This window comes from Homo sapiens, chromosome 8, assembly GCF_000001405.40.
Source record: "Homo sapiens chromosome 8, GRCh38.p14 Primary Assembly".
Taxonomy (NCBI): domain Eukaryota; kingdom Metazoa; phylum Chordata; class Mammalia; order Primates; family Hominidae; genus Homo; species Homo sapiens.
Genome location: NC_000008.11, coordinates 33,609,065 through 33,628,355, shown reverse-complemented (window position 1 = coordinate 33,628,355; position 19,291 = coordinate 33,609,065). Strand labels below are relative to the sequence as shown.

General features: G+C 42.5%; 1 annotated feature.

Annotated features, from left to right (window-relative positions):
• Nucleotides 1,630-2,487: an enhancer, noted in NCBI's record as "OCT4-NANOG-H3K27ac hESC enhancer chr8:33483387-33484244 (GRCh37/hg19 assembly coordinates)". NCBI's record gives its function as "activates a minimal SCP1, AML or CMV promoter by ChIP-STARR-seq in primed H9 embryonic stem cells {active_cell/tissue: H9 hESC(primed)}" and the evidence as "EXISTENCE:reporter gene assay evidence [ECO:0000049][PMID:30033119]".

Below are 19,291 nucleotides of genomic sequence, written 5' to 3'. Positions count from 1 at the left end.
GCCTAACCAACATGGTGAAACCCTGTCTCTACTACAAATACAAAAAATATTAGCTGGGCATGGTGGTGGGCACCTGTAGTCCCAGCTACTTGGGAGGCTGAGGCAGGAGAATCACTTCAACGCAGGAGGTTGCAGTGAGCCGAGATCATGCCACTGCTCTCCATCCTGGGTGACAGGTAAAAAACAAAACAAAACAAAAAAAGATTAACTCTGGCTGGGTACAATGGCTCATACCTATAATCCCAGCACTTTGGGAGGCTGAGGCAGAAGGATCACTTGAGGCCAGGAGTTCAAGACCAACCTGGGCAATATAGCAAGACTCCTGTCTTTACAAAAAATATTTTTTTTTTTTTTAGATGGAGTCTCGCTCTGTTGCCCAGGCTGGAGTGCAGTGGCATGATCTTGGCTCACTGTAACCTCCGCCTCCCAAATTCAAGCGATCCTCCTGCCTCAGCCTCCTGAGTAGCTGTATAAAAAATAATTTTTAAAAATTAGCTTGGCCAGGTGGTGCACACCTGTAGTCCCAGCTACTCAGGAGGCCAAGGCAGGATGATCACTTGAGCCCAGGAGCTTGAGGCTGCAGTGAGCTATGATTGTACCACTGCACTCCAGGCTGGGCAACAGAGCAAGACCCTGCCTCAAAAAAATTAGTTAAAAATAAAAGGTCACTACCCAGTAATGTAGAAAATATATTTGCAGTAAATTTATTTATTTATTTATTTATTTATTTTTGAGATAGGGTCTCACTCTGTCACCCAGGCTGGTGTGCGGTGGTACCATCATGACTCATTGCCACCTCGACTTCCAGGTTCCAGCAATCCTGTCACCTCAGCCACCTGAGTAGCTGGAACCACAGGCATGCGCCACCACGCCCGGCTAATTTTTGTATCTTTGGTAGACACAGGGTTTCACCATGTTTCCCAGGCTGGTCTCAAACTCCTGAGCTCATGATCCACCTGCCTTGCCCTCCCAAAGTGCTGGATTACAAACGCAAACCACCACACCTGGCCTAGAGTAAATTCAAAATACTGGAAGCTGGGTGTAATGGCTTACACCTGTAATCCCAGCACTTTAGGAGGCCAAAGAGGGAGGTCTGCTTGAGCCCAGGAGTTCAAGACCAGCCTGGGCAATATAGTGAGATCCCATCTCTACAAAAAATAAAAAAATTTAAAAATTTAAAAACAAAATGGAAGGCCTGGCATGGTGGCTCATGTCTGTAATACTAGCACTTTGGGAGACCTAGGTGGGTGGATCACCTGAGGTCAGGAGTTTGAGACCAGCCTGGCAAACATGGCAAAACCTCATCTCTACTAAATATACAAAATTTAGCCAGGCATGGTGCGGCGCGCCTGTAATCCCAGCTACTCAGGATGCTGAGGCAGGAGAATCGCTTGAAACCGGGAGGCGGAGGTTGCAGTGAGCTGAGATCGTGCCACTGCCCTCCAGCCTGGGTGACAGAGCGAGACTCCATCTTAATAAACATAATAAAAATAAGGAAATGAGGAGGGAACACCCAAGGAGTGACAGTGATGGTGAAGGAGAGGGGTGGTTTGAAAGACTGGAAGGTAAGGAATTGATACATTAGTAACTTGGTTCAATACACTGGATCGGGTGGGGGTGAGGAAGGAACCAAGGGAGCCCGAGTTGAGGTTTTAGAATAAGGCAACTGAAGGAAAGGGAGAAACATTCCTAATGAGATAGGGGAGCAAAATGAAACCAGTTTGGGTTTGGAGCAGATTGAGTTGGAGTCTGTCAGGCCTCTGAGCCCAAGCTAAGCCATCATATCCCCTGTGACCTGCACATATACATCCAGATGGCCTGAAGTAACTGAAGAATCACAAAAGAAGTGAAATTTAAATGGCCTGTTCCTGCCTTAACTGATGACATTCCACCACAAAAGAAGTGAAAATGGCCGGTCCTTGCCTTAACTGATGACATTACCTTGTGAAATTCCTTCTCCTGGCTCATCCTGGCTCAGAAAGCTCCCCCACTGAGCACCTCGTGACCCCTGACCCCTGCCCGCCAGAGAACAACCCCCTTTGACTGTAATTTTCCTTTACCTACCCAAATCCTATAAAACGGCCCCACCCCTATCTCCCTTCGCTGACTCTCTTTTCGGACTCAGCCCGCCTGCACCCAGGTGAAATAAACAGCCTTGTTGCTGACACGAAGCTGACACAAAGGGTGGTCTCTTCACACGGACGCGAGTGAAAGAGTCCTTGTAGGATAAATGCTAACATGGAAGCCCCTCTGGTTTAGTCTTACTAGGAAGATTCATTTGAGTTAACAGAAAACTAAATTATAGACTAAAGCTGAAAAATTATAAGATTGTGCTGTGTTTTTGTTTTGCTTTCTTTTCTTTTCTTATTATTTTTTATTTTGCTTTGTTTTATTTTTATTTTTATTGTCTCCTACTTCAGTTGCTTTATTGAATCTTCTCTTGTAGACAAATAAGAATTTTATAATTGTTTGGATTTAAATGGTTATTTTCAAATTGCTTAAGGGTATTAGAAAATAACTTCTTTCCTTGCAATTTTTTAAATGTCCCTTTCTAATTGGTTACATGATAATACATTCACACAACAAAATAATATGCAACTGTTTAAAACAGTTTGTATTAAAAAAATTTAGTAAATGGAGCAATAGTCATGAAATACTCCTTAGCAGAAAAAAAGGCAAGTTACAAAATAGTTATATACACTATGATTCTAATTTTCATAAAAATATGTGTGCATCTGTGTATGCACAGGGACAAATGGAAAGCAAAACAGCAAAATATAATTATGTCTATCTCTAAGTGCTGGGATTTGGGATGATTTTTTTAAATTGTCTTGTTGTGTTTTTATGCATTTGCTAAATTCAAAACAATGAATATTTAATATACTAGAGTTTAAAAATTAATACGGTTTCCAAATGTTTTGTCTTATAAATTTATTCTATACTTCCAGTGTCAAACCTTAAAACTGAAAATAAATTCACCAAGTCAGCAGAAGTTATCTTTGCCTTGTGGGAATAAGAGTAATACATATTATTTCTTTCTTTTGTTAATTGTTTCCATAATAGAAAGGTTAATAATTAGAAACGCTTTTAGAAAGAAATGTTTTCAGATCTCATGGAAGATGCAAAAATAAAAAAGGAAATAGGAGGAAACATTTATTTCCTTCCTCTGTCCCATAAAATTTCACTTTCAGGAAAGGGCCTGATGTTAGTCATTTGCACCTCCATGTGAATTTGACACTTCTTCCCCAGAGGTATTTACCTACCTGTTATGCTCTCTAATTAGGAGGAAATCTGAGTTCTATAAAGTTCAGATGTCCTGTGGTTTAGCCCACCTACTTCCTCACCAGACTTTCAGAAATAACAGTTTAGTCCTCAAAGGAGATCCCTTCTTCATGATCCATCCATCCATCCTTCTACCAGCGACTAATAGCTCTGACTCTACGGTTTCCTCTTTTGGTGATCACATTTCCCTCATATTTGGGATCTCTAGTGTTGTGTGTGAGATTTCCTGGCTAGTAAACTGTTTGCGATACAGAGCCACTTAATAAGAAAAACCAGAGCAGCCTCCAGTGGCTGAGATGTGAATTCCTCCTCTCTTTTTCTTTCCCCCAGCCCTTTTTCGTTCCTGCTTTTTTTTTTTTTTTTTTTTGAGACAGAGTCTCGCTCTGTCGCCCAAGCCGGCGTGCAATGGCGCAATCTCAGCTCACTGCAACCTCTGCCTCCCGGGTTCAAGCAATTCTCCTGCCTCAGCCTCCCGACTGGCTGGGATTATAGGCATGCGCCACCACGTCCAGCTAATTTTTTTTTTAATTAAAAAGTATACTTTAATGTCGAAAATGCAAACTTGGGGAAGGCAGAAAGATCACACACAAGGCTGTCACTTCACACTTGGAGGGTTGCACAGTGGCAGGGCAGAGGCACTCCTCACTTCCCAGACGGGGTGGTGGCCGACGCCCAGCTAATTTTTGTATTTTTAGCAGAGATGGGGTTTCACCATGTTGGCCAGGCTGGTCTCATACTCCTGACCTCAGGTGATCTGCCCGCCTCGGCCTCCCAAAGTGCTGGGATTACGGGCCTTTCTTATTTTTTTGAAGCAGAGACGGAGTTTAGCTCTTGTTGCCCACACTCTGGAGTTCAATGGCACAGCCTCAGCTCACTGCAACCTCTGCCTCCCAGGTTCAAGCGATTTTCCTGCCTCAGCCTCCCAAATAGCTGGGATTATAGGTGCCTGCCACCACACCCAGCTAATTTTCGTATTTTTTGGTAGAGACAGGGTTTCACCATGTTGGCCAGGCTGGTCTAGAACTCCTGACCCCAGGTGATCCGCCCACCTCGGCCACCCAAAGTGCTGGGATTACAGGCATAAGCCACAGCTCCCGGCCTTCCCTGCTTTCTTTCTTCCTGTTCATTTACCCCTCCAACAGGTCCCAGATTTTCTAAGTCAACCCAATTTCAAAGATCCTGTCCCATTATCTTCTTCCATACACTCATGCCTTTGTCAGATAATATGTTCAGATTCTTAGTTCAGAAAATGTGGTCACCATAGATGACCTCTTCAAATTATTCCTAATACTTGCCTCATTTCCTTTATGTCAACTTAAATGAAAGGAGACTCAAGACATGATACACATCACACACAAAAAATAAAGGAGTGAATGAACAAATAAAGTTTTCATGAGGACAATGTTAGTATATGCTTACACACAGTGGGGTAATCAAAATAGTCATTTGTTGAGTGCTTATCATGAACCAGGTACTGTGGTAATGCCAGAGGTGTTTGAACCAAAGCAACTCCATCTTGAATAGGAGCTAGGTAAAAATAAGGCTAAGACCTACTGGGCTGTGTTCCCAGGATGTTAAGGCATTCTTAGTCACAGGATGAGATAGGAGGTCAGCACAAAATACAGGTCACAAAGACCTTGCTGATAAAACAGGTTGTAGTAAAGAAGCTGGCAAAAACCCACCACAACCAAGATGATGACAGGAGTGACCTCTGGTCGTCCTCACTGCTCATATGCTAATTATAGTACATTAGCATGCTAAAAGACACTCCCACCAGCGCCATGACAGTTTACAGATGCCATGGCAACGTCAGGAAGTTAGATGTTTAGACCCTATATACTCTATATGGTCTAAAAGAGGGAGAAACCCTCAGTTCCGGGTATTGCCCACGCCTTTCCCAGAAAACTCATGAATTATCCACCCCCTGTTTAGCATATAATCAAGAAATAACTGTAAGTATTCTTAGCCCACCAGTCCAAGCTGCCACTCTGCCTATGGAGTAGCCATTCTTTCGTTCCTTTACCTTCTTAATAAACTTGCTTTCATTTACTCTACGGACTTGCCCCGAATTCTTTCTTGTGCGAGATCCAAGAACCCTCTGTTGGGGTCTAGATCCAGACCCCTTTCTGGTAACAATAAAGGATTTACATATTTTATTTAATTTAATCATCACAAGAAGTCATATCACAGTCTAAATGAACAAATTGAGATTTAGAGACACTCAGGCAGAGAGCCAGTATTCACACTCAGGTATCTGACTCCAAAGCACATGCTCTTAATAAATATGCTTTACTGCCATTGAGGGGTAATTTTGGAGGAGCCTGGGACAGGCTTACTGAACCCCACCACTCACCTTCAAAATATGTCCTTAAATTAGCTAAACCACTTCAATTTGGTTTGTTTGTTTGTTTGTTTTTTGAGACAGGGTCTTGCTCTGTCTCGCAGGCTGGAGTGCAGTGGTGCAATCTCGGTTCACTGCAACCTCCCCCTCCCAAGTTCAAGTGATTCTCCTACTTCAGCCTCCCAAGTAGCTGGGATTATAGGTGTGTGCCACCACGCCTCGCTAATTTTTGTATTTGTAGTACAGACAGCGTTTTACCATGTTGGCAAGGCTGGTCTCAAACTCCTGACTTCAGGTGATCCATCCACCTGGGCTTCCTTCCCTAAGTGCTGGGACTACAGGCATGTGCCACCACACCCAGCCATAACCCCTCAATTTGCATAGCACTTTAGGATGTGTGCATGCCTGTGTGTGCGTGTGTGTGATCCATAAGTCTCATAACAGCCCCGAGACATCAACAGGGCCTGGTGGAATATTAATTCTCCATTTATAGGAGAGGAATTAAGGCCCAGTGAGATTAAGTGATTTGTCACAGGCAGCGAAAAAGGCCTGGAACCAATGTTCAAACACTGTGTTACTTTCTCGACTTCTGCTTTCCTATGCTCTGAAATTCCCTTTCCAGCTACAAAACATTTCATTCCATTATTAAAGTTCTAGATGCCAGCTGAACTTTAAGGAAATGATTCACTGTGGATAGCTGAGACTTCTACATAGCTAAGGACGTGCTTCTCCACCATCCATTTCCACTCCTTCCATTATCCCTTTTTCTCACCTCTGTCTGCCTCTGTTGCTGTGAAACCATTTGGAATCGTCTATTTACATGACTGCCTTCTACGGTGAGCCACAATGCCCACCTTTATCCACATGGCTATTCTAGCTACTGGAGCTGGGCGTGGTGGCTTGCACCTGTAAACCCAACACTTTGGGAGGCCAAGGCACAAAGATCGCTTAAGCCCAGGAGTTCTGGGCCAACCTGGGAAACAGAGCGAGACCCTGACTCTCAAAAAAAAAACAAACAAAAAACAATTAGCTGGGCATGGTAGATGATGGTGCATGCCTGTAGTCCCAGCTACTCAGGAGGCTGGGGCAGGAGGACGCTTGAGCCCAGGAATTTGAGGCTGCAGTGAGCTACTGCTCCACTACACTTCAACCTGGGTGACAGAGAAAGACCCCGTCTCTAAAAAAAAAAAAAAAAAAAAAAAAAATTTAAATAAATGAAATTAAACACATAAATAAAAAAGAAAAGAAAATATTCTAGCCACTGGGACAAGTTCCCTAGCAGAACACACTCCATAAGCAATCGCAACTCAGACTGGGGGCAGGGAGGTGGAAAGTGGGGAACAGTGGGTCTATGTTTCTCATGGGTACATGGGAGGCATTGCGGTTTCATTATCTCCTTCAACAGTTCATCCAGCACAACATATTACACAGTTTCTTGCCTTCTTAGAAATAAAGGAGCTGAATTTACCCTTTGGGTGACAACACAAAAATATAATAAACAAATAAGAGCTAATATTTATTTTGTGCTTACCATATGACAGACACTGTTCTAATTGCTTTACATATATAAATTCATTAATCAGTATTAACTCATTCATTCCATTATTTTGCAAAGCTGTAAAACAGCAATGCTCCAGGAGGTATTGAAGGATTTATAATTATTTCTACCTTTTTTTAGTTCTTAGATCTCTCCCTTTTCCTGCAACTTCCATTTCTAATAGATTGCTAAATACTACCTCTCCAGATTTCTGATTTGCTTCCTTTAATCTCCTACAGTTTTTTTTTTTTTTTTTTCTTGAGACAGGGTCTTGCTTTGTCGCTAGGTTGAAGTGCAGTGGCACAATCATGGCTCACTGCAACCTAAGCAATCCTCCAACCTCAGCCTACCAAAGAGCTGAACCTACAGGCACGCGCCACGACTTTTGTGTGTGTGTGTGTGTGTGTGTGTGTGTGTAAAGGCAGGGTCTCCCTAAATTGCCTGGGCTGGTATCGAATTCCTGGCCTCAAGGTGTCCTCCAGCCTCCGCCTTCCAATATGCTGGGATTACAGGCATGAGCCATTGCACCTAGCCCTAATCTCCTATAGACTCAGAAGGATAAACCAATAGCTTTGGAATTACATCTAGAAAAATGTAACTATGTTCATGTGTGTGTGTGTGCATGCGTGTGTGTGTTTTGAGATGCAGTCTCATTCTTGTCGCCCAGGCTGGAGTGCAGTGGCACAATCTCGGCTCACTGCAACTTCTGCCTCTCAGGTTCAAGTGACTGATTTTCCTCCCTCAGCCTCCTAAGTAGTGGGATTACAGACTCCGCCACCACGCCCAGCTAATTTTTGTATTTTTAGTAGAGATGGGGTTTCACCATGTTGGCCAGGCTGGACTCAAACTCCTGACCTCAAGTGATCCACCCACCTCGGCCTCCCAAAGTGCTGGGATTGCAGGCGTGAGCCACCGTGCCCAGCCAGAAAAAGGTAACTATGTTCTGATAAGGACATATAAATAAAATATATTAGTAATAATACATGTGTGGTACCCAAATAGAAATATACAGTATATACAATATACTCAATGTATCTATTTCATTTATTTTGGGAACCAGAGTCTTTTTTTTTTTTTTTTAAGATGGGGTCTCCCTCTGTCATCCGGCTGGAGTGCGGTGGCACAATCACAGCTCACTGTAGCCTCAACCTCCCAGACTCAAGCAATCCTCTCAACTCAGCCTCCTGAGTAGCTAGGACCACAGGCATGCACCACAATGCCCAGCTAATTTTTATTTTTGTAGAGATGGGGGTCTCACTTTGTTGCCCAGGCTGACCTCAAACTTCTGAGCTCAAGTGATCCTCCTGCCTCTGCCTCCCAAAGTGCTAGGATTACAGGCATGAGTCACCACACCCAACCTAGAGTCTTTATTTATTTATTTATTTATTCATTTATTTATTTTTTGAGACAAAGTTTCGCTGTTGTCACCCAGGCTGGAGTGTGATGGCACGATCTTGGCTCACTGCAACCTCCACCTCCAGGGTTCAAGCGATTCTCCTGCCTCAGCCTCCCTAATAGATGGGATTACAGGCACCCACCACCATGCCAGCTAATTTTTTGTATTTTTAGTAGAGATGGGATTTCACTGTGATGGCCAGGCTGGTCTCGAACCCCTGGCCTCAGGTGATCACCCACCTCAGCCTCCCAAAGTGCTGGGATTACAGGCGTGAGCCACTGCACCCAGCAGAGTCTTTATTTTTAACGTTTTATGATGAAATAATTTCAAATTTGCAGAAAAACTGCAAAAACAGTACAAGGAACTTCCATATACATTTCACCAACCTTTTACTATCTCTAGCTAGAAGTATCCCAACGAGTTCATGAGATACAATTTCTCAAGATCCCTGGTAAAGAATGTGGCCATTATAAAGATCTTTAATCTGCTGTACATTTAATCCCAAACTTTTCCTCTCCCATGAATAATTAAAATTTCGCTAATTTAACTTTCGTGACCTATTTTGAATGTGGAATCATAAATATGGAGAAGCCCTAATGATATCACTGAGACCATCAACCAGATGTATGACAGAAGTGAAACTACTACAGACTGAGGAAAATCAATCATGGCTTGAAGCTATACCATTTATCTATTAATTAAAAATATAGGCCAGGCACGGTGACTCGCTCCTGTAATCCCAGCACTTTGGGAGGCCAAGGCAGGTGGATCACCTGAGGTCAGGAGTTCAAGACCAGCCTGGCCAACATGGTGAAACTCCATCTCTACTAAAAACACAAAATTAGCTGGGTGTGGCGGTGCACGCCTGTAATCCCAGCCACTCCGGAGGCTAAGCAGGAGAATTGCTTTAACCGGGGCGGTGGAGGTTGCAGTGAGCTGAGACCATGCCATGACATTGCACTCCAGCCTGGGTGACAAGAGCAAAACTCTGTCTCAAAATATATATATAGAAAGAGAGTGAGTGAGAGAGAGAGAGAGAATGAGCTAGGACCATTTTGTAACAGACACAACACTGCTTGAAGTCTTTTTTTTGTCTACTGTTACACTTTAATAAGGAAGTATATCTGACCTCATCAAAGATAAAGGCCACTATCATAAACTTTTTTTTTTTTGAGACGGAGTTTCTCTCTGTCACTAGGCTGGAGTGCAGTGTCTCGATCTCGATTCACTGCAACCTCCACCTCCCGGGTTCAAGCGATTCTCCTGCCTTGGCCTCCCGAGTAGCTGGGACTACAGGTGTGTGCCACCATGCCCAGTTAATTTTTTTATTTTTAGTAGAGACAAGGTTTCACCATGTTGGCCAGGATGGTCTTGATCTCCTGACCTTCTGATCCGCCCGCCTCAGCCTCCCAAAGTGCTGGGATTACAGGCGTGAGCCACTGCCTGTAGCTTAGGCATTGTATTTTGCATGTAGTAGACTTTTAGTAGTTGAGTAGCTGGGACTACAGGCACGCACCACCATCTACCATGCCTAGCTAATTGTTTTTCGTTTTTTGAGAGCCAGGGTCTCACTCTGTTTCCCAGGCTAGCCCAGAATTCCTGGGCTTAAAAAATTTTTAAACTTTTTTAAAATTCTTAATTCAATCTCTAAATTTCCCTCAAATATTTTCTTCTGTGGCCAAATTACAAATTATTTAAGCTCTTTTTCAGTGACCAGGAATTTTTCTAATCCTTGCAATTTGCATTATGAATAAAGAAGACTGGAGTGGGTAAGCCATAAAACATCACTCAAAGTCTACTACATGCAAAATGCAATGCCTAAGCTAATGCCATATTACATAACAGGCTCTAATAAATGGGGATTTGAGACCCAAGCTCAAGGCCAGCCCCTGTGGCTCCAGGACACAAGCCTGCTCCTGTAGACCCAGCCTCCAGGCCCACCTCAGCACAGCCCCGTGGCCTCAGACTCCAGGCTGACCACTGCAGATCCAGCCTCCTGGCCAGCCCCTGCAAACCCAGGCACCAGGCCAGCACCTGCAAACCTGGGCTCTACACTAGACCCTGCAGACCCAGGCTTTAGGCTGGCCTCCATGGACCCAAGACCTAGGTGTGCCCCCACAGGCTCAGACTCCAGAAACATTCTTATGGACTTGGACATCAAGCCTATCCCAGTGCCAGGCCAGCCCTCACAGACTAAGGCTCAAGGCCCACTTTGGTGCCAAGTCAGCTTCTGTGGACTCACAGAAGGCTTCAGGTCAGCACCCATGGATCCAGGATCCAGGCCTGTCCTTGCAGATCTAGGCTTCAGGCCCAACCTCAGAGAATCAGTTGACACAGCGGACCCAGGCTCCAGGCCCAACCCCACAGACCCAGGCATGATGCCCAGGCCCTGTGGACCCAAATACCAGGCCAGTCTGCCTTAGGCCTCCAGCAGTAAGCCTGCCATGATGGCCCACCAAGAAACTCTGGACAGGCTGACTGGCAAATGGCTTTTCCTAACAAAGTCAGCCTGTAAAGATTAAAATAAGTGGGTGGGCGCGGTGGCTCATGCCTGTAATTCCAACACTTTGGAAGGCCAAGGCAGGTGGATCACTTGAGGCCAGAAGTTTGAGGCCAGCCTGGCCAAATGGCAAAACCCAATCTCTACTAGAAATACAAAAATTAGTCAGGCATGGTGGTGCATGCCTGTAATTCCAGCCACCTGGGAGACTGAGGCATGAGAATTGGAGAAGTGGAGGTTGCAGTGAGCCAAGATCACACCACTATACTCTAGCATGGGTAACAGAGCGAGGCTCTGTCTCAAAAAAATGAAAAGATCAGAATAGATGCATGTTTCTTCAAATGCGCAGACACCAACACATGGCCATAGAAACTCAAATAATCAGGGAAACGTGACACCACCAAAGTTTCAAACTAAAGCACCAGTAACAAGAAATGGAAATCCACAAATGACCTGACAAAGAATTCAGTTTTGACACAACTCAGTGTACAGAAAACACAAGAGTAGAGAAAAAATGTAAATGACACTATGATGAAACAAACAAGACAAGTGTATGGGACATCCTTTAAGACAACTGGCCACTTACATCTAATAAGTCAATGTAATGGAAGAGGAACATGGTAGAGAGGTTATATTCTAAATTCAAAAGGGCTGGGCACAGTGGCTCATGCCTGTAATCCCTGCACTTTGGGAGACCAAGGCAGGCAGATCACCTGAGGACAGAAGTTTGAGACCAGCCTGGCCCCTGGCCAACATGGTGAAACCTCATCTCTACTAAAAATACAAAAAATTAGCTGGTCATGGTGGCACATGCCTGTAATTCCAGCTACTTAGGAGGCTGAGGCAGGAGAATCACTTGAACCAGAAGGCAGAGGTTGCAGTGAGCTGAGATCATGCCACTGCACTCCAGCCTAGGCGACAGAGCAAGACTCTGTCTCAAAAAAAAAAAAAAAAAAAAAAAAAAAAAAAAAAAAAGGACTGCATATTAAAAAAGATTAAGGAATTATTATCAATTTCCTTAGGGGTCATAATGGCATAGTGGTTATATATGAGAATGTGTTTTTTTAGGAGATACATAATAGGGTATTTGAGATGAAAGTATTTTGGGCTGGGCGCTATGACACGTGCCTGTAGTCCCAGCTACTCAGGAGACTGAGGCAAGAGGAGTGCTTAAAACCAGGAGTTTGAGTTTGCAGTGAACTATATGGTTGCACCACTGCACTCCAGCTTGGGGGACAGAGTGAGACCCTGTCTCAAAAAAAAAAAAAACTGTTCGAATTAGTGATCATGACATTTAAAAAAGAATTAATGTGGCCAGGCACGGTGGCTGATTTTATAATCCTGTGTGCTCAGAACGTTGAGGCAGGAGGATCACTTGAGCCCAGGAGTTTAAGGCCAGCCTGGGCATCTCTCAAGACCCCATCTTTAGAAAAAAAAAAAAAAAAGAAAAGAAAAGGAAGAAAGTATTTTTGCATCTGCAAGTTAGTTTCAAAAATAAGTGTGTATTTATGTGCATGTGTCTCTTATAACAGAAGAAAATTAGAAATAAATCACACATATTTACATAAATACATGTAAATCACATAAATATATGTGATTTATATACATATAAATATATGTGTATATATACAGTCACCAACTTACAATGGTTCAACGTAGGATTTTTCAATTTTACAATGGTGTGAAAGCAATACACATTCAGTAGAAACTATATTTTGAGTACCTATACAACCATTCTGTTTTTCACTTCCTTTTTTTTTTTTTTTTTCGAGATGGAGTATCACTCTGGCGTCCAGGCTGGAGTGCAGTGGAGGCAGGCGGATCACCTATGGTCAAGAGTTCGAGACCATCCTGGCCAACATGGCGAAACCCCGTCTCTACTAAAAATACAAAAATTAGCTTGCATGGTGGCGCCTGCCTGTAATCCCAACTACTCGGGAGGCTGAGGCAAGAGAATTGCTTGAACTCGGAAGGCAGAGATTGCAGTGAGCTGAGATTGCACCACTGTACTCCATCTCAAAAAAAAGAAAGGAAGGAAGGAGGGAAGGAAGGAAGGAAGGAAGAAGGAAGGAAGGAAGGAAGGAAATTCAAATTCCAAAATAGCTTCCTGAAGTGATTTCTTGGCCGGCCAAGAGGAAAAAATGAAAACTTAAAATGTTCTTTCTCCTTAAATCACAACTCCAAACTGAAGAGTCTTTATCCTACTCTTCCTTATCCTGCATCTTATGTTATTTAAACCTCCCTCTGCCCCATCTTTTTCTTTTATCTGTTCCCCTCTTTTTCCTAGCTAGCTAGCAACCCTCAAAACTCAATTGCCTCTTAAAATTAAACTTTTCTTTGAACACAAAAAAGTTCTTATGGTTGATTTTAAGCTCTTATCTTGCTTTTAGTTGAGAGTCATTGTCAAAATCTTTAGAAAGGCTAGACAGGATAGAGAGAAATAGCAAAGAGGAAAGAAAAAAATATTTGATATGATCTTTCCAACCAGGGGAATTCTAATCTATCTTTCTAGTGATAGAGATATTCATTTTACTGGGACTGTTATTAAAGAGCTTTACAGAGCCCTGACACATTTAGATACTTCACTGTCCCATATCACTCCCAATATTCAGGAAAGATAGAAAGAAATAAAGAAATTCTAAAACTCAAATTACCAAAATTCTTCAAGACTCTCAAACTTCTGTGGCCTAAGGTATTGCCGTTGGCTTTAATGTTAATGAGATCGACTGTTTCTGGGGCTTAGCAACTCCACCCATGAGTTAGTAACAGGCTGGCTCGGGAGTCTAGAAAGTTTACCTCTAAATGTAGACATTACCCTGTTCCAAGAAGACATGGTCAACTGTTTTAAGGGACTAGCACAATACACCCATTTTTATCATCAATAGGTAGGAGAAGCTGTTCTTCAACTTTATCCTAAACAACCCTTGCATGACTTAAAATCTGGAGACCTGGGCTGGGCATGGTGGCTCATGCCTGTAATTCCAGCACTTTGGGAGGCTGAGGCAGAAGGATCACCTGAGGTCAGGAGTTCGAGACCAGCCTGGCCAACATGGAGAAACCTCATCTCTACTAAAAATACAAAAATTAGCCAGGCATGGTGGCGGGCATCTGTAATCCCAGCTACTCGGGAGACTGAGGCAGAAGAATCGCTTGAATCCAGGAGGGAGGTGGAGGTTGCAGTGAGCCGAGATCTTGCCACTGCATTCCAGCCTGGGTGACAGAGCTAGACTCCATCTCAAAAAAAAAAAAAAAAAAAATCTGGAGACCCGGTTTTTTGGAACAGACTTCAGAAAAAAACAGCCTTTGAACCATGGTGGAAATGACCCTATCACGTGCTGTTAACAACTAGCACAGCAGCAAAACTGTAAGGTGTTGATCCTCCAGTTCATGCCTGAGCCACCCCCAAGATGACTACATCCTAAATCCAGAAATCTGTGAATTTGTTACTTTTTGTGAAAAAGGGGACTATGAAGATATAATTAAGCTTAATTATATTAAGATTAATTACCTTGAGATAGAAAGATGATTTTGGATTTTCCAGGTGAAATCAATGTATTTACAAGCATCCTTATAAGAAGGAAACAGGAGTTTCACAAATAAAGAAAAAGCAATGCAATGAGAGAAGCAGAAAAAGAGAAGGATTTGAAAATACCATATGGCTGGCTTTAAAATGAAGGAATGGATCATGAGCCAAGGAATACAGGTGACCTCCAGAAGCCAGAAAAGGCAAGCAAGCAGATTGCCTCCTAAGACCTCCAGAAGGAAGGCATTCCATGGACTGATTTTAGATTTCTGACCTCTAGAAATGTAATAAAATAAATATGTGTTATTTTAAGCCATAAGCCCATGAGAATTTGGTACAGCAGCAACAGAGAACTAAGAAGGCTGTCTCTCAACTGAAGAAACATAAACTATCCCCGAGTTATTGGAAGATTGTCTTTATCAGAGACCTTAACCTGAGCATTCTTAGGAACCTACAGAAACATACAGTCTTTGGGAAGAGATAACGTTTACCCAACAAGACGACTGTGGGGGATATAGACATTCCCACCTGAGGTCCACGCACTAAGACCACAGATTGCTACTCTTTAATCTACATTCTTTTGTTTTTTGTTTTCCTACCCCTCTTCTTTTCTCTGTTGCTGATTTGAGGCTATTTTCACCTATTTATTCATTAGACCCCTATTCTTTTTTTTTTTTTTTGAGATGGAGTCTCGCTCTGTTGCCCAGGATGGAGTGCAGTGGTGTAATCTTGGCTCACTGCAACCTCTGCCTCCCAGGTTCAACTGATTCTCCCACCTCAGCCTCCTGAGTAGCTGGGATTACAGGCACCCGCCATCATGCCTGGCTAATTTTTGTATTTTTGTAGAGACGGAGTTTCACCATGTTAGCCAAGCTGGTCTTGAACTGCTGACCTCAGGTGATCCACCCACCTTGGCCTCCCAAGGTACTGGGATTACAGGCATGAGCCACCACGCCCAGCCAGACCCCTATTCTTAATATTGTTTTGTTTTGTTTTGTTTTGAGACAGACTCACTCTGTCGCGCAGACTGGAGTGCAGTGGTATGATCTTGGCTCACCACAACCTCCGACTCCCAGGTTCAAGCCAGGGATGCTGAGAAACACCCTACAATTCATAGGAGAGCCCCCTCGCTCAGCCTCAACTCCAAGTGAAGTTCTGCTGTAGAGTTCTGACACTAATTACCCAGAGTTAATGAAGACATCACAGATTAGATTCAAAGTCCTCCACAAGACTGCTCTACCTGCAGACAGGAGCTGTCAGTCTCTGGGGTCCCCAGGCCTCCTACACTTCTGATTGTCTATAAATGTAGGGGCTTTCCTGACCTCCTCAAATTCAGGAATTCACTAGAATGAGTCACAGAACTCAGGAAAGTGGTATACTTACAATTACTTTTATTGTAAAGGATACACATAGGGCAAGACCCAGGAAGGAGTGATGACCTACCATGCCCTTCCCCCATAGCATAGAGTGCATTTCCCTTATAGTGCATCCATGTGTCCACCAATCAGGAAGCTTCTCTGAGCTTCAGTGTCCAGAGTTTTTACTGGGGTTACATTATGTAGGCATGATAGATTAAATCATTGGCAAAATGATCAAGCTCAATCTCCAACCTCTCTCTCCTTTCCAGAGATTGTGTTAACTGAAAGTCCCAATGCTCTGCCTATGTGTTTGGTCTTTCCAATGACCAGATTGCATCCTGAAGCTTTCTTGGGTCCCACCCTGAGTTGCTCCATTATCATAACAAAGATACACTTATCATTCTGAAATTTCAAGAATATCTCCTCTCAGAACCAGGGATAAAGGCCAGTCAAAGTTTTTATTATGGAACATCCACAACAAGAAATGACCAGGCCTAAAATGTCAATAATGCAAGTTTGAGAAACTCTGCTTTAAAACTATCTAATGACCCTGATACTACAGATTTCTTTGTCTGGTGCCAAACTATTCTTGATGAGCAGTGTCAGAATGTTACAACCATTAGATAATCTTGTAGGGTATTTTGGCCAAAAATAGATTATTAAGTGGCCTCCAATGACTATATTGAATTTGTGGCACAAAGACCTAGTAACCATTTTCTTTAAGCTGGACAGAAACATATTACCTTGATCAACCAATGCCTGCTTTCAGAAGAGACACTAATGTCACCTAGGATCAATTTTGGCTTGATTTCTTCTCTAGAAAAAAACAGATCATTAGATTATTTAATTCAAGTAGAAGAGAGACTAAGCATTGACTTTAATTAATTAATTAATTTATTTATTTTGAGAAGGAGTCTTGCTCTGTTGCCCAGGAAGGAGTGCAGTGGCACAACCTCAGTTTGCTCCAACCTCCACCTCCCAGGTTCAAGCGATTCTCCTGCCTCAGCCTCCTGAGTAGCTGGGATTACAGGCACGCGCTACCATGTCCGGCTAATTTTTGTATTTTTAGTAGAGACGAGGTTTCACCATGTTGGTCAGTCTGTCCTCAAACTCCTGACCTCGTGATCTGCCCACCTGGGCCTCCCAAAGTGCTGGGATTACAGGCATGAGCGACTGTGCCCGTCCACATTGACTTTATTTTTTAACCTAAATCCTACCCACTTAAGGAGAATTCTGGATTGTTTTCTTTCTTCTCCAAACCTCTTCACTTCATGCATCACAATAGTCCTGAAAAGTAAGGTGAATCCTAGAGTGTGACAGGGAAGCTAGACAATGCCATCAAGGCTATGGGAGTACTCACCTGAGAAGTTCATGAAATTGGAGGTCAGGCATGGTGGCTCACACCTGTAAACCCAGCACTTTGGGTGGCCAAGGTTGGTAGATCATCTGAGATCGGGAGTTCAAGACCAGCCTGGCCAACGTGGTGAAAGCCCGGCTCTACTAAAAATACAAAAATTAGCTGGGCATGGTGGCTCGTGCCTGTAATCCCAGCTACTCAAAAGGCAGAGGCAGAAGAATCGTTTGAACCTGGAAGGTGGAGGTTGCAGTGGGCCGATCCTGGGTGATGCAGCGAGCCAATCCTGGGTGACACAGTGAGACTCTGCCTCAAGAAAAAAAAAAAAAGAGAGAAATTGAACAGGCAGGGGTGCAAAATGAAGATGACTCAGATTTAATATTGACCTCTCATAAGAAATAGTTATTCTTTTAGGGGAAGAATGTTGTACTTACTGCCCTACAGACCTCTGGAATCTTTCCTATAATAGTCAATATTTTCAGAAAAATTAGGTAATTTGGCTAATAATACCAAATTTGATTTTGTGGGATCCTCAGACTAGGGATGTGATCTGTGGTCTTGATTTACTTTGGGCACACTTGGCTCCTGGTTGAGAAGTAGAAGACAAACTCTGAATATGATCCTTTGTTTAGTACATTTGTCTGTGTTGCAGTGTTCAGATGGTGATCTCCACAGTCTTAAATGCTGAGGTGCAATAGCTGTCCCAACTAATAATTCAACAAATAATCATCCAAAAAAACAGCAGGAAAACCTTATGCTAATGGAGGTTGAAACATGTACCTTTGGAATCTTGGAGATTGAACAAGCCATTCCCATAAACTTGATACATAATTGTGATGCCTCAAATCAGCAAGGACCTGGATTGATCAAATCCCAAATACTAATGGTCTATCCTTCAGCTCAGAATGAAAAATGGTAAAAAGGAGAAAAATAAAAAACAAAACTATCTACCCCTACATAGTTTGCTGTCTGCTTTAACAGGACTTTACCATTCCATTGTCTTCATTTGCATAACTTTGCTACCCCAAGAGACTTGTCCAAGAAGGTGAAAGTTGCAAATAACTTTCTCGTTCACTGTAAAAAATTATCAAAAGATCCAGCAACTCCAAAAAGCATCAGTATACAGTTTATATCCCAAGACTCTTTGAGCTCCTCTTCTCAAAATTCTTACCTTGCTGTTTCTACAAATTCTAAACTATTGTACGATGATAATTACTCAATTCTAATGAAGTCTGTGCATTGAAAGACCCATCCTAAACCAAACTTCAAAATATCAATAAATCAGATCTTGCAATTCCTTCTGAGAGTTGCTATCTGCAAAGTTAGCATTCTCACTTACTGTGATAAACAATAAACTCAGCTTTGTGATATTAAAAGGTTATCCTGATGATACTTGGGAAGCCAGCATTCCACAAGGACAATGAGAAAATTCTACAGCCAACATAAAGGGAAGGCAGATTACAACAAAGAAATGGTAAGAACCCCAGAAGAAAAGACTTCTCATTGGCAAAAATAAATGCGGAAAACAATGAGGTAACATCTTTGATGTGCTGAAAAACATAATTGGGAGCCCAAATTTCTAAACTCCAGCAAAATGTCATTCACAAGTCAGAAAAAATTTAAAATTTATAGATATTCAAGCACTTAAGAATTTACTAACAACAGTCCTTTACAAAAAGAACTACTAAATAAGAAAATAAACCTACAAGGAATGAACAGTATAAAGATATATATAAAAATGCCAAAGAATTCTTTAAAAATGCTGGTAAATCTAAATAAATACTGAGTGGGAAAAAAGTTAGAATAGCCATCATTTTTTGAGTGTTTTCAGAAACCAGCTGGCTCTCCCAGTTGAAGATAGCATATTAAAAGCAAGCATTTAATTCTGTTTCTTCCTGAAACTTCATAAAAATGACAGTAGATTTTATATAGACAGATATAAGTATCTATATATACATATATTTATCCATATATATTTATACATATATAAATGTATGTGC